Consider the following 21,748-nt stretch of genomic DNA (forward strand, 5'->3'; position numbering starts at 1 on the left):
CACATTCTGCACCAATGATGCAGGAAATTAACAGCTAGATGTTCTTAGTTCTCCCTCTCCGTGGCGGTTCTGAAGATAGGCGGTGAAAGTGGACTGTTCCTCAGAAGCAAAAACTCTCCAGTGTTTCTGATCCATTAGTTCCGTAGCAATGTATGAGTTTTCATAACTATGGTTATGTATTTTGGTAAGCTGCTATCTTCATGCAACAGTCAATTTCACTGAACTTCATTTCCTCTAAGTATGTTAGATTACATATTTCACAATGTATTATTTGAAACAAACCAATCTCATTGAAAAACCCAGTTGAGAAGCTTCATGAATAATTTAACTGCTTGCTTTTCCTCTCAGATTTCACACATTTTGCCACGTCATTATTTAAGGAAACTTTCTCATATTGTAATACTTCCTCTTTTCTATTCAAAGAAATTGTAAACATATCAGCAAAAAGGGAACCACAGTTTTATCTGGAACACTAATATATTTAGAGTGAACAACACTGCCACCCTAAGATTTCCCAGTAACCTAGATGCATTTTGCTGTACTCAAGCAGGCTGATATGATTGCAGTTTGGGGAAAAATTTATATTATATAGAGTGTGGTTTCTTTTGGAGTGGTTTGCTAGTTTCTCCAATGCTGTTTGTCATATATGTAAAAGTAAAAACAGTTGGTATTGTGTAGCAGTATAGAATACTACCTATGTTCTCTCTCTATATATATGCCCCAGAGAACCATTTGTTTCCATTCAGAGTGATAAGGTTATACAAGACCTACTTGGCCATGCAAGACAAGTTCTTTTCTTCATTTCTGTCTACAAATTCAGATCATTTCTCCATAGTTCAAGATAGCTATCTATCCTTCAAAGAATGGTACAGGCCAGGCATGGTGGCTCACACCTGTAATCCCAGCACTTTGGGAGGCTGAGGCCGGTGGATCCCTTGAGCCCAGGAGTTCGCGAGCAGCCTGGGCAACATGGCAAAACTCTAGAAAAATATAAAAATTAGCTGGGCATGGTGGTGCTCACCTGCAGTCCCAGCTACTTGGGAGTCTGAGGTGGGAGGATCACCTGAGCCTGGACTGGTTGAGATCACGCCACTGCACTCCAGCCTGGGTGGAGACCCTGTCTCAAACAAACAAACAAAAAACAAAAAACAACACAAAGAATGGTAGAGAGAGCTGTAAAAGTAAAGAATCTATGAAGGTCTTTTGAGCTCAAAAATGTTTCTATTTCAATTATCATTTAAAACATGTTCACTATGAAGGTGGGCTTCCTGACTTGATTCACTCATTGAAATTCATAGTAGGGTCAGTTGATGACCAAGAAACTTAGCTATTTCAAAATCATGGGGTATAAGTCTTAACATCAAATAATGCATATGTAACTCAAACTTCTCATCTTTAGCATCATCAGTTCAAAAATTATATACGTTACTCCACTAATTAGGCATAACACTTCATTAGAAGTTATATATGCATTCAAAGCCACCTCCAGCTGCACCAGCCTATAATGAGCTGTTTATTTGTTCATGTGACAATCTTATATTGCTACCTATTATTTCATGTGCACGTAGATACTCGATAAAGTCTTTTAAAATGAATGAATGCAAATCTTCTGCCTCCCACAGTGCCTGTTCTTAAATCCTAAGCCCCATTATTGCTACTCCCTGCCACCTCCATTCCATAAACTGCAGGGCCATTGTTCTATAAGCTGCTTGAGTTTAAGAGTGTTGCTTTCACAGCTCTCTTCATACGTACAGGAAGGCTCTGCTTCTCCTTCCCAAGACACTCAGGGAATCTTTCCAGGATGCTTCCCATTCACTCTACTGAATTCACCTACTCCCTCTTGCTACCTCTGCTTATAGTATTTTGCTTCAGACCCAATTGTCACCCACTGGTCCCTGAGATAGGCAAAAGATGCTTTAGACTATTTTCTTGGGTGCTGCCCTCGGGCTCCACATCCTGCAGCCTGCCTCATTCCCATTCTGGAAGGGAGTTCAGATAGCTTGAACTTAGTAGTAAGGGTGATCTGACTCCTGTGATCATTGACTTCAGTGTTCACCAGGCTGCTTAGCAAAGGGCCCTCTTCATCACTCCCTTCATCATTCAGTTAAGGGAAAAGATCTCAAGAACGCAGAGGCATAGAGAGGCACCTCAATGGCACTGTGCTTTGCAGACATATGAGTTGTCATGGCAGACGGTGGTGGTGACGATCACTGCTGCCTGTATCTTTATAACCTTAGAGAAATCTGAACTTCTCTTTAAGGAAATCCATGTGTAATTTCCTTCTCTGGTTGCTTCATAGGGCAGTCAAGGCGGCAGGAAGCCACAAAGCCCTGGCTAACAAATTAAAGCAATGTTTATATGCTAGGCTTGGTCTTTCCTAATGAAGGAGAGGCTGCTGACTAGTGGGGCTCAGGTCAGACTTCCTGTCACCAGCTGGGCTTGCACACGTAGGGAACACTGACGAATGGCTTGGGCTTTGTGCCCCATCAGCACTGGGCCCTCATGGCCCAGTCACAGGAATATGGCTAGCAAGGCAGCACGACTGCTTTACACCAGAGTTCAGGGAAAGGCATCACATCCCTCAAGCCACCCAAGCAAGAAGTCTGGTGGTCGTCCTAGCCTCTTGCTCTGCCTCATACCTCACAGACGATTTGTTTACCACGTCATAAAGATTTTACTTCTTAAATACCTCTCAAATCCATCCCCTTTCCTCTCAATGGCTCTGGCCACTGACTTAATTCAGGTCCTCATCATTGATCATCAGAGTTACTAAAATGAGAAGCAAGTGGCTTCCGTGGGGCTGGCCTCTTCACCTCTAAGCTGATGTTTTCTGCAAGAGTGATCTTTCTAAATTACTAACATCAGATTTCATCACCTCTCTGACCCCCTTCTGCCAGCTTGAAACCTTTCTTTTTTTTTTTTTTGAGACGGAGTCTCGCTCTGTCACCCAGGCTGCAGTACAGTGGCACGATCTCAGCTCACTGCAAGCTCCACCTCCCAGGTTCACGCCATTCTCCTGCCTCAGCCTCCCGAGTAGTTGGGACTACAGGCACCCGCCACCACGCCCGGCTAATTTTTTTTTGTATTTTTAGTAGATAACCGGGATGGTCTTGATCTCCTGACCTTGTGATCCGCCCATCTGGGCCTCCCAAAGTGCTGGGATTACAGGTGTGAGCCACCATGCCCGGCCTTGAAACCTTTCAACGATTCCTCGCTGCCTTTAGGCTGAAGTCCAAACACCTTAGCAGGCAAACCGGCTCCTGTCTCTTGCCACCTTTCTCCATGCCCCTCATTCCAGCTATATTCATCTAATGTCCATTTCCGATCATGTCACACTCCTTCTGCCTTTAGTGCTTTTCCATGCTATTCCCTCATCCGGAAGTGGCCATCCTTCACTAACTAGCTCACCCCTGCCACTGCTTCTGCATTCATTTATTCATGACACGTTTACTAAAGGTGACTGTGTGCCAGCCACTAATCTAGGTGCTGGGCATCAGTGAATCAAACAGACAAAACTGGCCATGTGCAGCGGCTCATGCCTGTAATCCTAGTACTTTGGGAGGCTGAGGCAGGAGGATCACTTGAGGCTAGGAACTGGAGACCAGCCTAGGTAACAGAGTGAAACTCTGATTTTACAGAACATAATAAAAAGAAAAATAAAAAACAGGCAAACTTCCTGACTTGTAGAGCTTCCCTTCCAGTGGTGGTGATGGTGGTGGGAGGGGAGGAACAATGAAGCGAACAAACAAGTAAATTCTACGCTAGATGACAAGACAAGTGCTATGGAGAATAATCCGGCAGGGAAGAAGGCTGGCAGTGCCAGAGCAGGTGCGGGGGTTATTGCGATTTTAAATGGAGTTGTGTATAATAGGAAAAACCAACTGCTTTCTCTTCTACAGTCATACTTGTCAGAGAATACTTCCTCTCCGGTTGCTAAAATGTGTGTGGAGTTTTCCCCACACCGACCAATTCTCCAACACCAGCTGGGTGATCTACAATTTAACTCAATCCTGACACTATGTACCTGGAGTTAGAGTCAGATTGCACAGCTTAAGGACTTAGTCCCACAAGACTGCCCCTACTTTAGATGCCAGTCACAAGCCCCAGGCTGTGACCCGTGTTCCTGACTGACAGGCTGTACACTGGAGTTCCCATGGTGCCCTCCTTGGATTTGATAATTTGCTAGGATGGATCACAGAACTCAGAAAACCACTTTATTTATGTTCACCTGTTTATTAGGAAGGATATTACAAAGGATACAGATGGACAGCCAGATGGGAGAGATGCATTGGGCCAGGTATGGGGGAGGGGGCAGGTGGCTTCCACGCCCCCTCCAGGGTGCATCGCCCTTCCAGCACCTCCGCGTGTTCAGCAGCCCGGAAGCTCTCCAAACCCCACAGTTCAGGGATTTTCATGGAGGCTTCATCACATAGGCACCACCAATTACTAACTCAGGTTTCCGCCCCTCTCCCCTTCATGGAGGATGGGGAGCTGAGCTGAAAGTTCCAAGTTTCTAATCATGGCTTGGTCTTTCTGGTGACCAGCCCTATCCAGGAGCCCACCAAGAGGTGCCCCATGAGAAAAAAAGACGCTACTATTACCCAGGAAATTCCAAGTGATCAGGATCTCTGTGTCAGGAACCAAGATCAAAGACCAAATATCAGAACAAAAGATTCTCCTAACGCCCCTATTACTCAGGAAATTAAAGGGTTTTAGGAACTCTATGCCAAAGGACTGGAGACAAATATTGCTATGGTTTGAATGTTTGTCTCTTCAGAAACTCATGTTGAAACTTAATCCCTGGCTGGGCCCAGTGGCCCATGCCTATAATCCCAGCAATTTGGGAGGCCAAGGCAGGTGGATCACTTGAGGTCAGGAGTTCAAGACCAGCCTGGCCAGCATGGTGAGACCTCATCTCTACTAAAAATACAAAAATTATCCGGGCATGGTGGCATATGCCTGTAATCCCAGCTACTCAGGAAGCTGAGGCATGAGAATCACTTGCACCCAGGAGGTGGAGGTTGCAGTGAGCTGAGATCGCGGCACTGCACTCCAGCCTGTGCAACAGAGTGAGTGAGACTCTGTCTCAAAAAAAAATTTAATAAAAAATAAATTAGAAAATAAAAACTTAATCCCCAATGTGGCAGTACTGCAAGATGGGGGAACTTTATGGGGTGATTGGGTCGTGGGGCTCTGCCCTCATGAATGGATTAGTCTGCTCATGGATTAATCCATGGGTTAACAGATTAATGGTTTATTATGGGAATCAGACTGATGACTCTACAAGAAGAGCAAGACAGGCCGGGCACGGTGGTTCACGCCTGTAATCCCAGCACTTTGGGAGGCCCAGGTGGGCAGATCACGAGGTCAGAAGGTGGAGACCATCCTGGCTAACCCCGTCTCTACTAAAACTATAAAACATTAGCTGGGCATGGTGGCGGGCGCCTGTAGTCCCAGCTACTCGGGAGTCTGAGGCAGGAGAATGGCGTGAACCCGGGAGGCGGAGCTTGCAGTGAGCCGAGATAGCGCCACTGCACTCCAGCCTGGGTGACAGAGAGAGACTCTGTCTCAAAAAAAAAAAAAAAAAGAAGAGCAAGACAGACCTGAGCTAGCACGCTCGGCCCATTTGCCATGTGATTTCCTGCGCTGCTCAAGATTCTGCAGAGTTGGCAGGGCATGGTGGCTCACGCCTGTAATCCCAGTACTTTGGAAGGCTGAGGCAGGCCGATCGCCTAAGGTCAGGAGTTCAAGACCAGCCTGGCCAACACGGCAAAACCCTGTCTCTACTAAAAATACAAAAATTAGCCAGGTGTGGTCGTGTGTGCCTGTAGCCCCAGCTACTCAGGAGGCTGATGCAGGAGAATCGCTTGAACCCGGGAGGTGGAGGGTGCAATGAGCTGAGATCGTTCCACCGTACGACCATACGAGCTGAGATCGTGCCACCAGCCTGGGTGACAGTGCAAAAAACGAAGAAAGAAAAAGAAAAAAAATTCTGCAGAGTCCCCACAGCAAGAAGGCCCTCACCAGGAGCAGCCTCTCAACCTTGGACTTCTCAGCCTCCATAACTGTAAAAAATAAATTCCTTTTTGTTTATATACCTTGTTTCAGGTATTCTGTTATAAGCAAGAGAAAACTAACCCAGAAAATTAAAAATATATATATATTTTATATATATATCTTTTTATAAATCACAATATCACAGGTAGTCAGGGAGGCCTCAGTGAGAGGGGACATTTGAGCAAAGACTTGAAGAAAGTGAAGGAGCAAGTCATGTGAGTATTTGGAGGAAAATATTAAGAGAAAAGTTAAGAATAAGGGCAAAGAGCCTGGGGCAGAGGCATACTTCAACTGTGAAGGAAGTAGAAAAAGGCCAGATGGCCTGAGGACAGTGAGCAAGTGAGAGAATAAAAGTCAAAGTGAGGTCGGGCGCGGTGGCTCACACCTATAATCTCAGCACATTGGGAGGCCAAGGCAGGCGCATCACTTGAGGTCAGGAGTTTGAGACCAACAAGGCCAACATGTTGAAACCCCATCTCTACTAAATATTAGCTGGACATGGTGGCAGGTACCTGTAATCCCAGCTACTTGGGAGGCTGAGGCAGGAGAATTACTTGAACCTCAGAGGTGGAGGTTGCAGTAGGCCAAGATTGCGCCATTGCACTCCAGCCTGGGCGACAGAGCAAGACTCCATCCCCCCACCAAAAAAAATTCAAAGTGAGACGGCACAGTGAGTCACACCTGTAATCCCAGCACTTTGGGAGGCTGAGGCAGGAGGATCACTTGTGTCCAGGAGTTCAAGACCAGCCTGGGCAACATAGCATGAACCTGTCTCTACAATTCTTTTTTCTAATCAGCTAGGTATGGGGGCACATTCTTGTAGTACTAGCTACCCAAGAGGCTAAGGTGAGAGATCGCTTGACCCTGGGAGTTCAAGTTTACAGTGAGCTATGATCACATCACTGCACTCTAGCCTGGGCAAAGAGCAAGACCCTATTTTTAAAGGAAAAAAAAGTCAAAATGAGAAAGTTGTGGGGAGGTCCTGTGAGCCACTGCAAGGTTTTACTCTAAGTGAGATAGTGAGATGAGGAGTTATTGGAGGGTTTGAACAGAGGAGTTACATATTAAATAAATCATATTAAATGTTACTTTTTTTGTTGTTTTTATTTTTTGAGACAGAGTTTCACTCTTGTCGCCCAGGCTGGAGTGCAATGGCGCAATCTTGGCTCACCACAACCTCCGCCTCCCAGGTTCAAGGAATTCTCCTGCCTCAGCCTCCCCAGCAGCTGGGATTACAGGCATGCGCCACCATGCCTGGCTAATTTTGTATTTTTAGTAGAGACGGGGTTTCTCCATGTTGGTCAGGCTGGTCTCGAACTCCCGACCTCAGGTGATCCGCCTGCCTCGGCCTCCCAAAGTGCTGGGATTACAGGTGTGAGCCACCACACCCAGCCTAAACGTTACATATTAAAAGGATTATATATTAAAAAGCCACTGGATTGAGAATAGATTGTAAGAAGACAAGGGTAGAGGCAAGGACAGCTGTTAGAAGACTGTTGCAAAACCCCAAGCTAGAAATGCTGGTGGCCTGGACAAGGGTGGGAGCAGTAGAGGTGGCAAGACATAGTTGAATTCTGGATATAGCTTAAAGGTCAGATAGGATCTCCTAATGGCATGAATGGGGGATAAAAGAGAAAAAGGGGTGACAAGGATGATGTCAAGGTTTTGGGTCTGAGAAACTCTAAGGATGAAGTTGCCACTAGCTGAGATAGGGGAAGACTTGCAGGGGCAGGTTTCAGGGGAAGATCAGGAGTTTTGACCTGGCCTTGTGTATTAATCCATTCTTGCATTGCTATAAAGAACCACCTGAGACTGGGTAATTTATAAAGAAAAGAGATTTAATCAACTCACGGTTCTGTGGGCTTTACATGCTTCTGCTTCTGGGGAGGCCTCAGGAAACTTAGAATCATGGCAGAAGGCAAAGGGGAAGCAAGCACATCTTCACATGGCTGGCAGGAGAGAGAGAGCAAAGGGGGAAATGCTATACACTTTTAAACAATCAAGTATCATGAGAACTCACTCATCATGAGAACAGCAAAGGAGAAGTCTGCCCCCATGATCCAATTACCTTCCCACCAGGACCCTCCTCCAACATTGAAGATTACAATTTGACATGAAATTTGGGTGGGGACACAGAGCCAAACCATATCATTCCACTCCTGGCCCATCCCAAATATCATGTCCTCACATTTCAAAACACAATTATGCTTTCCAAACAGTCTCCCAAAGTCTTAACTCATTTCAGCATTAACTCAAAAGTCCAAGTCCAAAGTTTCATCTGAGATAAGGCAGTCCCTTCTGCCTATGAGCCTGTAAAATCAAAAGCAAGTTAGTTACATCTAGGATACAATAAGGGTACAGGCATTGGGTAAATGTTCCTGTTCCAAAAGGGAGACATTGGCCAAAACAAAGGGGTTACAGGCCCCATGCAAGTCCGAAACCCAGCAGGGCAGTCATTAAATCTTAGAGCTCCAAAATAATATCCTTTGATTCCATGTCTAACATCCAGGCCACACTGATGCAAGGGGTAGGCTCCCAAGGTCTTGGACAGCTCTGCTTCTGGCGGCTCTGCAGGGCTTAGTGCCCCATGGCCGCTCTCACAGGCTGGTGTTGAGTGCCTGTGGCTTTTCCAAGCACACAGTGCAAACTGTTGATGGAGCTACCATTCTGGGGTGTGGAGGACAGTGGCCCTCTTCTCACAGCTCCACTTGGCAGTGCCCCAGTGGAGACTCTTTGTGGGGACTTCAACCCCATATTTCCCCTCCACAGTACCCTAGTAGAGGTTCTCCACAAGGGCTCCGCCCCTGAAGCAAATTTCTGCCTGGATATCCAGTTGTTTCCATACATCCTCAGAAATCTGAAAGAATGGAGGCTCCCAAGCCTCAACTCTTGCCCTCTGAGCACCTGCAGGCTTAACACCATCTGGAAGCCTCCAAGGCTTGTGTCTTATACCCTCTGGAGCAGCAACCTGAAACATATCTGGAGTCCTTTTAGCCATGGCTGGAGCTGGAGCAGCTAAAGCACAGGGAACAGGGTCCCAAGGCTGCACAGAATAGCAGGGCCCTAAGCCTGACCCACAAAACTGTTTTTCCCTCCTAGGCCTCCAGGCCTGTGATGAGAGGGGCTGCCACGAAAGTCTCTGAAATGTCTTGGGGGCATTTTTCCCATTGTCTTGGCTGTTAACATACGGCTCCTCTTTACTTACACAAATTTTTGCAGCTAGGTTGAATTCCTCCCCAGAAAATGGTTTTTTCTTTTCTAATACATGGCTAGGCTGCACATTTCCAAACTTTAATACTCCATTTCCCTTTTAAATGTAAGTTCCAGTTTCAGATAATCTCTTTCCTCAGAAATATGAGCATACACTGTTAGAAGGAGCCAGGCCATATCTTGAATGCTTTGCTACTTAGAAATATTTTCTGCCAGATACCCTAAATCATCTCTCTCAAGTTCAAAGTTCAACAGATCCCTATAGCAGGGGCACAATGCCACTAGTCTCTTTGCTAAAGCATAGCAAGAGTGACCTTTACTGTAGCTCCCAATAAGGTCCTCATCTCCATCTGAGAACTCCTCAGCCTGGACTTCATTGTCCATATCACCATCAGCATTTTGGTTACAACCATTCAACAAGTCTCTAGGAAGTTCCAAACTTTTCCTTATCTTCCTGTCTTCTTCTGAGCCCTCCAAACTCTTCCAACTTCTGCCTGTTACCCAGTTCCAAAGTCACTTCCACATTTTCAGGTATCTTTATAGCAATGTCCCAACTCTCTGGTACCACTTTTCTGTATTAGTTCATTCTCACATTGTTATAAAGAACTACCTGAGTCTGGATAATCTGTAAGGAAAAGAGATTTAGTCAGCTCAGGGTTCTGTGGGCTGTACAGGCTTCTGCTTCTGGGGAGGACTCAGGAAACTTACAATCATGGTGGAAAGCAAAGGGGAAGTAAGCACATCTTCACATAGCTGGTGGAAGAGAGAGAGCATAGGGGGAAGTGCTACACATTCTTAAACAACCAGATCTCGTGAGAACTTACTATCACGAGAACAGCAAGGGAGAAGTCCACCCCCATGATCCAATCACCTCCCACTAGGCCCCTCCTCCAACATTGGGGATTACAATTCAACATGAGATGTGGGTGGGAACGCAGAGCCAAACCACAGGCCTTGTAAAGTTAGAGATACTTAAAGAGTCAACTTGAGTATCTTCTCCTAAAATCCTTTCCAGTATTGCTATCATAGCACTTAGTATAGAGAGCAGCTCTTTTAACACAGGTGTTTTTGAGTTTTAAATTACGCATTAATTCAAAGTAAACTAGTGTTAAGAACAAATCAGTAACTTCTGTTCCGACAGTGAAAGAGTGATTGAGACAGATGTTCCCCTTCTGGCATAGACAACTAGAAAACTGACAAAATATACGAAACAACTGTATTCAAATATTAGGACTGTAGGTAGTGTAAAGTGTGATCTCGGAGAGGAGGGAAACAGAGGTGAGCCCTACAATCACTCCAGTTCTTTGTCTGCAGGCAATTTTCGAGTTGTTGTGTAAGGAATCCAAACAGAGCCCAAGAGATCTTGCTGAGTTGAGGAAAGACTGGAGGTGGGGATGGCTACGGCAGTTTGCAATTTGTGAGGCAGAGTATTGAAGAGGAAGAAGCTATGTAAAGAGAGCTCCAGAAATCTGCATACGAGTCCCCTTGAGACTTGGCATGAATACTAATCTGGCATGTATAAGGTGAAACTCACCAAGCCTGGCAAGGAACAATTAATTGACGGGAATCTATAAGCTAAACAATTCCCAAAGCTGACACAGGGCTGGTAAATGTGAGTTCCTAACAGGCAGAGTGGAGAGCCCTTGTTGAAGACTTAGGGTGAGGAGTAAAGACCCTTAGTAGAACGGCTAAAAACAAAGTGTTTTGTTTGTTTGTTTGTTTTTGTGTTTTGAGACGAAGTCTCGCTCTGTCGCCCAGGCTGGAGTGCAATGGTGCAAACTTGGCTCACTGCAACCTCCACCTCCCGAGTTCAAGCGATTCTCCTGCCTCAGCCTCCCGAGTAGCTGGGATTACAGGCATGCGCTGTAGGGTCCAGCCCTATTGGGTCTGTGGGTTTTTCTCCTTGTGTGCAGAGACGAGAGATCGTAGAAATAAAGACACAAGACAAGGAGATAGAAGAAAAGACAGCTGGGCCCAGGGGACTACTACCACCTAAATGCGGAGATGGGTAGTGGCCCCGAATGCATGGCTGCGCTGTTATTTATTGGCTACAAGACAAGTTGGCAGGGTAAGGAGTGTGAGCCATCTCCAATGATAGGTAAGGTCACACGAGTCACCTGTCCACCGGAGAGGGGGCCCTTCCATTTGGTAGCCCAGGCAGAGAGAGAGGGCAGCTTACATCATTATTTCTTCTGTGCATTTCAAAGACTTTAGTCTTCACTGATTCTGCTACTGCTATCTAGAAGGCGGAGCCAGTTGTACAGGGCGGAACATGAAAGCGGGCCAGGAGTGTGACCGCTGAAGCACAGCATCACAGGGAGACGGTCAGGCCTCCGGATAGCTGTGGGTGGGCCTGACTGATGTCAGGCCTTCCACAAGAGGTGGTGGAGCAGAGTCTTGTCTAAATTCCCCAGGGAAAGGGAGACTCCCTTTCCTGGTCTGCTAAGTAACGGGAGCCTTCCCCAGGCACTGACGCTACCGCTAGACCAGGGAGCCCTCTAGTGGCCCTGTCTGGGCATGACAGAGGGCTCACACTCTTGCCTTCTGGTCGCTTCTCACTGTGTCCCTTCAGCTCCTATCTCTGTTTGGCCTGGTTTTTCCTAGGTTATACTGTAAAACAAAGATTATTATAATATTGGAATAAAGAGTAATGCTAGAAACTAATGATTAATGATATTTATATATAATCATATCTGTAATCTATTTCTAGTATAACTATTCTTATTCTATACATTTTCTTTATTATACTGCAACAGCTTGTGCCCTTGGTCTCTTGCCTTGGCACCTGGGTGGCTTCCCGCCCACAGTGCACCACCACACCCGGCTAATTTTTTGTATTTTTAGTACAGACGGGGTTTCACCATCTTGAACTTCATCAGGAGTTCAAGGCCAGGCTGGTCTTGAACTCCTGATCTCAGGTGATCCATCCACCGGGGCCTCCCAAAGTGCTGGGATTGCCTCAGCTCCTTCCCTCCCCCGGCTCAGACAACTTGCCCCTGAGGGCAGGGGCCTGCTGGTTTATTTAAAATGGATGGAGCCCAACAAGTGCAGAGAAGCGCAACCATGCAGGGAGAAAGCACTGTAGCAGGTCGGTGCTCCGCCTCCTCTTGCCACTGACTGCCGACTGAAGGCCACTGGCCTGTGCCTACTAACCAGGCCTCCTAGGTCACCTGGTTACCAGAAACCAATCACTCCTAGAGTTCCTGTCCCAGGCACTTGGCTCACAATGCCCTGTGGCTACCCAAACCGGTGGCTGTCCCCTCCCACAGCAACCCCCCAAGTGGTTGCCCTGCCCCACCATAATTCTGATTTTCCTTCCTTTCTGGCTGCTGGGAGCTTTTAAGTTTCTGCGTTGTTATGAAGTCTCTCTGGATCATCACCTTACAATGGATTATGCTTAAATTACTACTGTAATCAAATCTAAGTCTTGTGCACTACTGGGAATCCAAAAAGCCTCCTCTCCCCAGTGGCCTCTGAGTTTTTTTTGAGATGAAGTCTCATTCTGTCGCCCAGGCTGGAGTAAATGGCGTGATCTCGGCTCGCTGCAACCTCCACCTCCCGGGTTCAAGCAGTTCTCTGCCTCAGCCTCCCAAGTAGCTGGGATTACAGACACCTGCCACCACGCCCAGCTAATTTTTGTATTTTTAGTAGAGACAGGGTTTCACCATGTTGGCCAGGCTGGTCTTGAACTCCTGACCTTGAGTTCTACCCACCTTGGCCTCCCAAAGTGCTGGGATTGCAGGCGTGAGCCACTGAGCCCGGCAGCCTCTGGGTTTTTTAGAAACGCAAAAGAACACCGATTTCTGCAGGTGCTTTCAGAAAAAAAATTTGTCATGAGTCAAGTCTACTCTGTGATGTCAACTTATATTTTTAATGTGTATATATATATATATATATACTATATAAATTCTTACATATTTCTGAAAATATCACACACATTAAATCAAACAGAAGAGTAATAGGAAATTTCCTAAAATGTGTACACTAAGAACATATATATATATATATATTTTGAGACGGAGTTTCACTCTTGTTGCCCAGGCTGGAGTGCAATGGGGCAATCTCGGCTCAACGCAACCTCCACCTCCCAGGTTCAAGAGATTCTCCTGCCTCAGCCTCCCGAGTAGCTGGGATTACAGGCATGCGCCACCACACCAGGCTAATTTTGTATTTTTAGTAGAGACAGGGTTTCTCCATGTCAGTCAGGCTGGTCTCGAACTCCCGACCTCAGGTGATCTGCCCGCCTCAACCTCCCAAAGTGTTGGGATTACAGGCATGAGCCACCGTGCCCGGCCGAACGTCACATATTTCTAATGATTGCTTTGATAGAGCAACTTAGAATCTATGGTTCCAACAAATAAGGAGGCTTATGTAAAGTAAAACCACTACATAATGTGAGATTATACATGTGATTATCATTGCTACTTGCGACCAGCAATTATCATGTGAATGTGTACCGTGAGTTGCTATGTGGCTATGGTGATTTCATCTTTCTGATCCTTGATTTAACTATAAAAAAATGATTACCACAGACTTTGTTTGCTCTAAAAATTAAATGAGAGAAGGATGATACTCTTCTATGTATTAAACACAAAATTACAGGCATTTTGCCCAGATTCGTACACAATTATCTTGTTTAAGCCTCATAACAACTTGAAAAAGGCATCTTTTATAGATGAGAAAAGCGAAGATCAGAGGGGTTAAAAACATATCCACAATCACATAATGATGAATGATGGAATTGGGATTCAAATCCAGGTCTGATGGACTCCACAGCTGGTGCATCTTAAGAACCAAATTATATCCCACCCATGTAGGCACTCAATAGATGTGAATTCCCTTTTATTACCCTATTATGTGTGAATGTCAGTGCCTTTCATGGCCTCAGTATAACCGTTCACTCCCTCCCAGGTTGCCTGTCAGTGGTTTCCTTCTTCCTGGAGATAATCAAGAATTATTAATTATTTTAAGTATTTTTAAGTATTAAGTATTTTTTCATAAGCAGATGTGCTGATAATGTAAGGCTTGGGTAATGAAATTTTCCAGGCCATCCATTGCTAACTTATTAATTGCCTAGCTTATTTGGAATAAAAAACAAACAAACAAACAAAAAAAAACAAACAAAAAACAACAACAAAAAACCTATTACATGTTAAAAAGAACCCACAGAGCTTGTGAGGAAAGAGTCTGAACTATGCTGCAGGAGCACCTTACTATCAGTTATTCGGGAAGACCAGCCCAAAGACACAAAGCAAGAGTACTTCTAACATGCATTGGAATATCAGATCTCTGGTCTAGGATTCAAAATACTGGGTTATGAGTCCCTCCAGAGCTAAGATACAGTAGACTAACACCTGTTTTTGGCTCTGGGGAGAAAAAACAAGAGAGGCAAAGATCAAAAGTACTAGAAGAGTTCTAGAGATTTGTGGACTACCATGTACATATAGTTAGCTATATCGTATCATACATCTAAAATTTTCCTAAGGGAGTAAATTTCATATCATGTGGCTTTTTTAACCACAATTAAAATAAAAAACATAGATATGATACTATAAAAGAGAGTGGGCATAATGGAAGAGTAATACTCAGGTGAGAGGGAGAGAAGGAGAAGCCTTGCTTCCCAGGATAAAGGGAAAAGGGAAAATCAATGCAGATATGGAATAGCAGGTACATGAGGACTCTGAGGTAGAAATAAGCTTGGTAAGTTGACATTGTCTAGCCCAGATCTTTCCAGAAAAGCAGCACATCTAGTCCCAGGCATTTCACTCCTCTCACCACCTCTCCTGCTGACCCACCGCCACAGTGGCCTTATTGACTTTTCGGGAACATGGCCAGCTTTCCCTTGCTTTTGGTTCCTTTCAACCTTGTCACTTCCTGTGATTGGAAGGTCTTTGTATGGCTGACTCCTTTCATCTTTCTTCTCCATTATTACTTCCTCAGAGAGTTCTTCCCTTCCGAGCCTCATGGAGACCCACTCACTGTACCATTATTCATTTTTATTTACTTCATTCCATTTATTATTTGAAAATATCTTAATTAGTTGTTTTTGCATTTACGATTAGTCTCCTTTAACCACATTGTGAGTTCCATAGGCTAAGGATCCTTACATATATTGTCATTCACCATATAAACCAATTCTTAAGACAGATTTTATGACAGTGTAGGCATTCCATGAATACGTACTGCATTCATAAATAAATAAATGAGTGATATGCTGTTGGCAAAATGAATATAAGCAGAAATTGTAACTTCGGAACACTGATATCCACCAATATTTATTGTGAATTTATTGGATAGTGTATTTTCCATATATTTATGTGTCATGACCTACATTTAACTCCAAAGGAAATATGCAATCTATATAAATCCATTTTTCTGCCTTCTAGAAGCTTAGTCTACGGAGGAAACATATGAACGCAGACCATTAAAATACAATGTGATGAAGATTTTAACAATTACAATGCACTGAAGTTTTGGACTGAGGGCTGTGGGAGCAATAATACAGTGCTTCGAACTTAAGTAAAATGAAACAAGAACAGTTTTACTAACATGCTGAGAACATGAAAGTTCAGAGTTTGGCATGCAAATGCTGAGGGCTGAGGAGTAATCATGAGGCAGAGGAGCTAGGAAGCATATACAACCCTCCCAAGATTTTCATTGACAGTAAGGAGTAAGCTAAGGTGTAAACTGAGCAGGAGACAGTATCAAGAAAATGATTTAAATTATGTCTCTGAGGGAATTAAGCCAAGTGAAAGAAAAATCGAAGACAACTAAAACAAAAGGGAATCTTTAAAGAGGCTAAGTCTCAAAAGAGGTAAAAGAGAAGAGAACAACTTATTCTATTAGGCGAAGAGAACAACTTATTCTATTAGGCGAAGAGAATAACTTATTCTATTAGGCAGGAGGGAAGGAGGAAACGACCATCTCTGAAGGGAAATCTCAAGGTTAAGAGAGAGAGGCTTCCCAAGCATAAGATGAACAGTTTCTGTTTTCCCATGAAGAATGAGATAGACCATCTGCTGATACTGGCTGGTGAGGGAGACGCTGAGGGAGAGGCAGGGACAAGAACTTTATTGGTTTATAATTGGTGTGCAATGTTGCTGCCCTAAGCTGCATCCTCACACATAAAAAACTTGTCCTTATGTCTCTCTTGAAATCTATGCAGAAACTAGATGTGGCACACTGTCCACATGGGGGACAGAACACAAGGTTACAGAAGCACCACAACAAGAATGAAATAGTCATTTCTACATTTGCAAAACAATTTTTTAATTAGCTAATTATTTAGCTCAATGATTGCTATATCCCTGTAGGTATATGTGCTCAAGGATCAGTTATTATTTCTTTAAATCCTTTTGAGGCATTCAAAGACATAAGACATTCTATTTCAGTGGGAATGTTGTAGTAGGCAACATTTGCTGTAAATAAACAACACATGACAAAAGGAGTAAATTACACTGGCCGGGCGCGGTGGCTCACACCTGTAATCCCAGCACTTTGGGAGGCCAAGGCGGGCAGATCACGAGGTGAGGAGATCGAGACCATCCTGGCTAACACGGTGAAACCCCGTCTCTACTAAAAATACAAAAAATTAGCCAGGCATGGTGGCGGGCACCTGTAGTCCCAGCTACTCGGGAGGCTGAGGCAGAAGAATGGCATGAACCCGGGAGGCAGAGCTTGCAGTGTGCTGAGATCGCGCCACTGCACTCCAGCCTGGGCGACAGAGCGAAACTCCGTCTCAAATAAATAAATAAATAAATAAATAACACTGAATTTATCCTGAAGAGAAAATGCAAAGCCAAATAAGAGACCCCCAAATCAGACTGAAAATTTATTTGCCTCTATAAAGTTCAGAAAACCAGAATGAGAAGCAGCTACTTTTTAAACTTTAGACATTATAAATTTACAATTCAACATGAGATTTGGGCAGGGACACATATCCAAACTACAACAATACTTACAAAGTCAACCTCAGATCAGTTACGCACATATTTTCTATCATTCCCAGTTCCCTGCCATTCGCAAAGTTTATGAGCATTTTTTATGTTCCCTCAAGCCCCAGATATAAATGTAAGAGCGTTGTGCCAGCTAACAAAAACTTTCATATGTGCCAAAATAAATCTACTCATCAGTGCCCACTGGTATTTTAATGGCTCAATAGAAATGTTTTGTACAAGGTTGTGAAGGCCTTTATGAAAGGATACATTTTTTGTTGTTGTTTTTGAGACAGAGTCGGTCTGTCGCCCAGGCTGGAGTGCAGTGGTGTGATCTTGGCTCACTGCAACCTCTGCCTCCTGGGTTCAAGCGATTCTCCTGCTTCAGCCTCCTGAGTAGCTGAGACTACGGGTGCCCGCCACCATACCTGGCTAATTTTTGTTGTTTTTAGTAGAGGCGGGGTTTTGCCATGTTGGCCAGGTTTCGAAAGCCTGACTTCGTGATCCACCCGCCTCAGCCTCCAAAAGTGCTGGAATTACAGGCATGAGCCACCACACCCGGCAAAAGGATAAAGTTTTTAAAAGTCTTTTAGGATAGCTTTGTTATCAGGTGTATAAGCTTAATAACACTCTCTTCCAGCATCTCTATTTGTCAGAGTTTTTATGACATTGGTGATTTCATTTTGATTCTAAAAACTTTCATACATCTCATTCTGTAGCAATTAGTTTGCGTTCAGCTACAAAGAAAAGACTTTTGTATAGTATCAGAACATATGAGGTGTACTCTTACGTACTTGGGCAGCAGAACTAATAGTGCAGTGACCTTATAGTGTGCCAGTTTCTTTCCATTTCCTGTCTCTGAAATGGTCTACACCTGGTCATTGTGCTCAAGCTCACTCCTTCAGAACCCAAGTCGGCTGATCCACCTCCAGGCAATTGAATCACATTCCAAACAGCAACAAGGAGAAAAATGTGAAGCTAATAGGACAGGGAATGTTATTAAAAACCAGTGTTTTTTAATTCAGAGAAGGCCAACCTGTTCAGGCACTTCTCTCTAAATCTCATGGAGCAGAACACTATCACTCGGCCACCAATGTAAGCAGAAACATTTCTCTGTAGCAGAACACAGGAGACATGATTGGGAGTGGCTGCTGCTACCTGTACTATCATGAGTTCTGACAAAAAGGCTATTTACATTGTGCACTGGAACAGGGTGTTATGAAAAAACCCTCAAATTCAGAATACATTCATCCCAGAGTCACAATAATTATGTAAGCAAATGGAATGCTTATTCTTTAGAGGTATAATTAAACAGCTGTCTAATCATTTGATTACTTATGACTTTGTAATGAAAATTATCAAACACAACAGTGAGAATGTAATATTCAATCCCATAATCAAACATAACCTGTTAATCTTTTGTAAGGTTTTACATTTTGATAAAATGTTCAATAAATTGTGGTGCTTTAATTTGCATGATGATGATGCAACACATAAAAGCAAGTGATTTACTTGAAAGGTGATCCCAGGAACAGAAGGAAGCAGTGAAGGAAGATGGGAAAGAGCAAGAAACCAATAAAGGCTGTGGAGTCGGTCAGACCTATTTTTGTTCATACATTTTTGGAGTTTTGAGTCCAGCTCTAAAGTTACCACATGTGTATGGCGTATTCCTAGTATGACTATGTTAACTCAGGATAAACTACGGCTCAGGTACTGCAGAGGCTGCTGCACGTAGAATGGACCAGAACCACCTGGAGGGCTGTAGGATAACGGGTTGCTGGGCCTCTCCTTCATGTTACTCACTCAGCAGTCTGGTCTGCTTTGTTGCAAATTTTCAGGTGTTTCCAAAGCTGCTTGTCGGGGAAATGACTTGAAGAACTTCTCTGGCTGCCCAGTATGATGATGTTCTCCAGTGAAGACAGTGGCCCGCGTGAGATGCAGTAAGATACAGTGATCGTGAATGCTTTTAAGTGGACTCTAGTCTTGTTTATCCAAGTGTGAGAAATGAGGTCATGTGTGTTGGACTTCTGTGGTTTCACCTTGGAAGCCTGACTACTGTTCAAAGTCTACAACAGTCAGGTACATATCCATTCCGGGTATACACGTGTAACCTAGGCTAGGATCTAAAGTCTTTACATGGCCTGGGCTGGAATCTGTCTCAGATCCTAGAGAGCTGCTCTGGGTGAACACACCTGGAGGAAACACTGAGATCCACAAGGGGAGATAACTCAAAAATAGAGTCCTTTGGTGGGTTGTTTTTGGAACTGTTCCTGTTGCTTTGGGGATGACATGGGGGAAGATGTGGAGAAGACGGTGGTGGTGACAACGGAGGTTTGAGGGGTACGGGACCACACCCAGACTTAGAATACAGCCCTCGTTTCTCCTGATTCCGTTTGTCATAGCCAGGAGAGCATCCTGGGTAATTTACCTAGTTAGAAGAATCTCACCCAGGGGACTGGGCTTTTGATTTTGCCATTTCAAGGAAAGACGTGCATCATACCACGGGCACTACAGATCCTTGAGACCTCCTTCAGCTCTCCTCTTCTTTCACAGCCTTGAAAATTATCTTTTAATTGATAGCCTCAGAAATGTTATTGAAATCTTTACTACCCATTCGCTAGGTGAAATTATCTAAATGAATTTCGCATTCCAAATCTAACCATATTTCTTAAATTATGAATATGGTTGAGAAATTTATTTTTAGGCAATCTTTTTGTTTCACATAATTTGCTCATAATTGTTAGTTTAGAGTATTCTTTAAAATGAATTATCCCCATTACTAAATAATTTGACTGTTTAATCTTTCTAAAAAAATTAAAATACGTCATTCTAAATAACTCGTTAAGTTTTACCTTATATTTATAGAAGCCTTCCCAATTACTCATATAAAAATCTTATGCTGGCCGGGTGCAGTGGCTCACGTCTGTAATCCCAGCACTTTGGGAGGCCGAGACAGGCGGATCACGAGGTCAGGAGATTGAGACCATCCTGGCTAACACGGTGAAACCCCGTCTCTACTAAAAAAAAAAAAAATACAAAAAATTAGCCAGGCGTGGTGGCGGGCGCCTGTAGTCCCAGCTACTCAGGAGGCTGAGGCAGGAGAATGGCGTGAACCTGGGACGCGGAGCTTGCAGTGTGCCAAGATCGCGCCACTGCACTCCAGCCTGGACGACAGCCTGGACTCTGTATTTAAAAAAAAAAAAAAAAAAAAAAAAAACTTATGCTGTGTTTGAATACATAATTTGTCAATCAGTTACATATTTTTAAACAGCCTTGAAAGACTGATTTTATTCTTATAAAATGATACATTTAGTCACTTTCTAGTTATAGACCTGTACTATTTGGCTGTTATATTATACCTAAAGCTGTTAATTTCCCTTTTTAAAGCAGTAATGAAATATGCAAACTATAAGATTTGCCCCCCTGCCACTTTTTTTTTTTTTTTTTGAGACAGACTCTTACTCTGTCGCTCAGACTGGAGTGCAGTGGCGCGATCTCAGTACACTGCAATTTCCACCTCCCAGGTTCTGGTGATTCTCATGCTTCATCCTCCCAAGCAGCCGAGATTACAGGCGTGCACCACCACACACTGCTGATTTTTGTATTTTTTGGTAGAGACAGGGTTTCACCATGTTGGCCAGGCTGGTTTTGAACTCCTGACCACAACTGATCCACCCGCCTCAGCCTCCCAATGTGCTGGGATTACAGGAGTGAGCCACCGCACCCGGCCGAGTTTACCCATTTTTGAGTGTACATTTTAGAGGCATTAAGTGCATTCACATGATGGGATACTCATCACAACTATCCTGAAACCTGAAACTATTATGAGAAAACATAAGGCAAAAGTACCATGACATTAGTCTGGGCAATAATTTTTTAGATTTAATGTAAAAATCCCAGGCAACACAAGCAAAAATGAATGAAACTTCTTTCAACTAAAAAGCTTCTGTACAGCACCAGCTACAATCAATGATATGATGAGACAACCACAGAATGAAAAAATATTCAAATTATATGTCGGATGGGTTAATATTGAAAATACATAAGAACTTAAACTATATGACAGAAAGATATTAAAAATGGGGAAAATATCTAAATATGTTTTTCAAAAGACCTACAAATGACCAACACATATATTTTTAAATGTTCATCAATAATCATCAAGGAAAGGCAAATCAGAACTGCTATGAGGTATCACCTCACTCTTGTTAGAACGACTATAATCAAAAAGACAGAGGATAAGTGTTGGCGAAAGTGTGGGGAAAGAAAAATGCTAGCACACTGTTGGTATGAATGTGAACCAATACAGCCACTGCCAAAAACAGTATGATGATTTCCGCAAAAAAATTCAAAATAGAACTACCATATGACACAGCAATTTTACTATTGGATATATATCCACAAAAATAAAATCAGTAGGTTGAGGAGACATCTTTATTTCCTAAATATTGAAAGAAATATTTCCCAAATTTTGAAATATATAATATTTGGGAATATTTGGGAAATAAATGTTTCTGTCTTTCTCATAAACTCAGTGGAAAAGACTC

General features: G+C 43.7%; 1 protein-coding gene and 1 long non-coding RNA gene across 3 annotated transcripts in view, besides 3 other annotated features; both read right to left on the reverse strand.

Annotated features, from left to right (window-relative positions):
- ZNF670-ZNF695 (ZNF670-ZNF695 readthrough (NMD candidate)) overlaps positions 1-21,748 on the reverse strand; it is a 133,266-nt gene that overhangs the window by 14,241 nt on the left and 97,277 nt on the right. Inside the window, exons 5-6 of the long non-coding RNA NR_037894.2 lie at positions 20,054-20,218; positions 7,909-8,006 (exon numbers count right to left, since the gene is read on the reverse strand). This is a non-coding gene — a long non-coding RNA (ZNF670-ZNF695 readthrough (NMD candidate)). The remainder of the gene's footprint in view (positions 1-7,908; positions 8,007-20,053; positions 20,219-21,748) is intronic.
- ZNF695 (zinc finger protein 695) overlaps positions 1-21,748 on the reverse strand; it is a 62,512-nt gene that overhangs the window by 14,241 nt on the left and 26,523 nt on the right. For both annotated transcript variants that reach the window (NR_037892.2, NM_001204221.2), the window contains exon 5: positions 7,909-8,006. Coding sequence is in view for 1 of the 2 variants with exons in the window: in NM_001204221.2 (NP_001191150.2) it covers positions 7,909-8,006 (98 nt within the window). In the remaining variant the exon portion in view is untranslated. The remainder of the gene's footprint in view (positions 1-7,908; positions 8,007-21,748) is intronic.
- Positions 2,537-2,696: an enhancer, noted in NCBI's record as "active region_2864". NCBI's record gives its function as "activates an Ori minimal core promoter by ATAC-STARR-seq in GM12878 lymphoblastoid cells {active_cell/tissue: GM12878}" and the evidence as "EXISTENCE:reporter gene assay evidence [ECO:0000049][PMID:35858748]".
- Positions 2,747-2,796: an enhancer, noted in NCBI's record as "active region_2865". NCBI's record gives its function as "activates an Ori minimal core promoter by ATAC-STARR-seq in GM12878 lymphoblastoid cells {active_cell/tissue: GM12878}" and the evidence as "EXISTENCE:reporter gene assay evidence [ECO:0000049][PMID:35858748]".
- Positions 19,061-19,355: an enhancer, noted in NCBI's record as "tiled region #11618; HepG2 Activating DNase matched - State 16:ElonW". NCBI's record gives its function as "activates a minimal TATA promoter and a strong SV40 promoter by Sharpr-MPRA in HepG2 cells {active_cell/tissue: HepG2}" and the evidence as "EXISTENCE:reporter gene assay evidence [ECO:0000049][PMID:27701403]".

This window comes from Homo sapiens, chromosome 1 (genome assembly GCF_000001405.40).
Source record: "Homo sapiens chromosome 1, GRCh38.p14 Primary Assembly".
NCBI classification, from domain to species: Eukaryota; Metazoa; Chordata; class Mammalia; order Primates; family Hominidae; genus Homo; species Homo sapiens.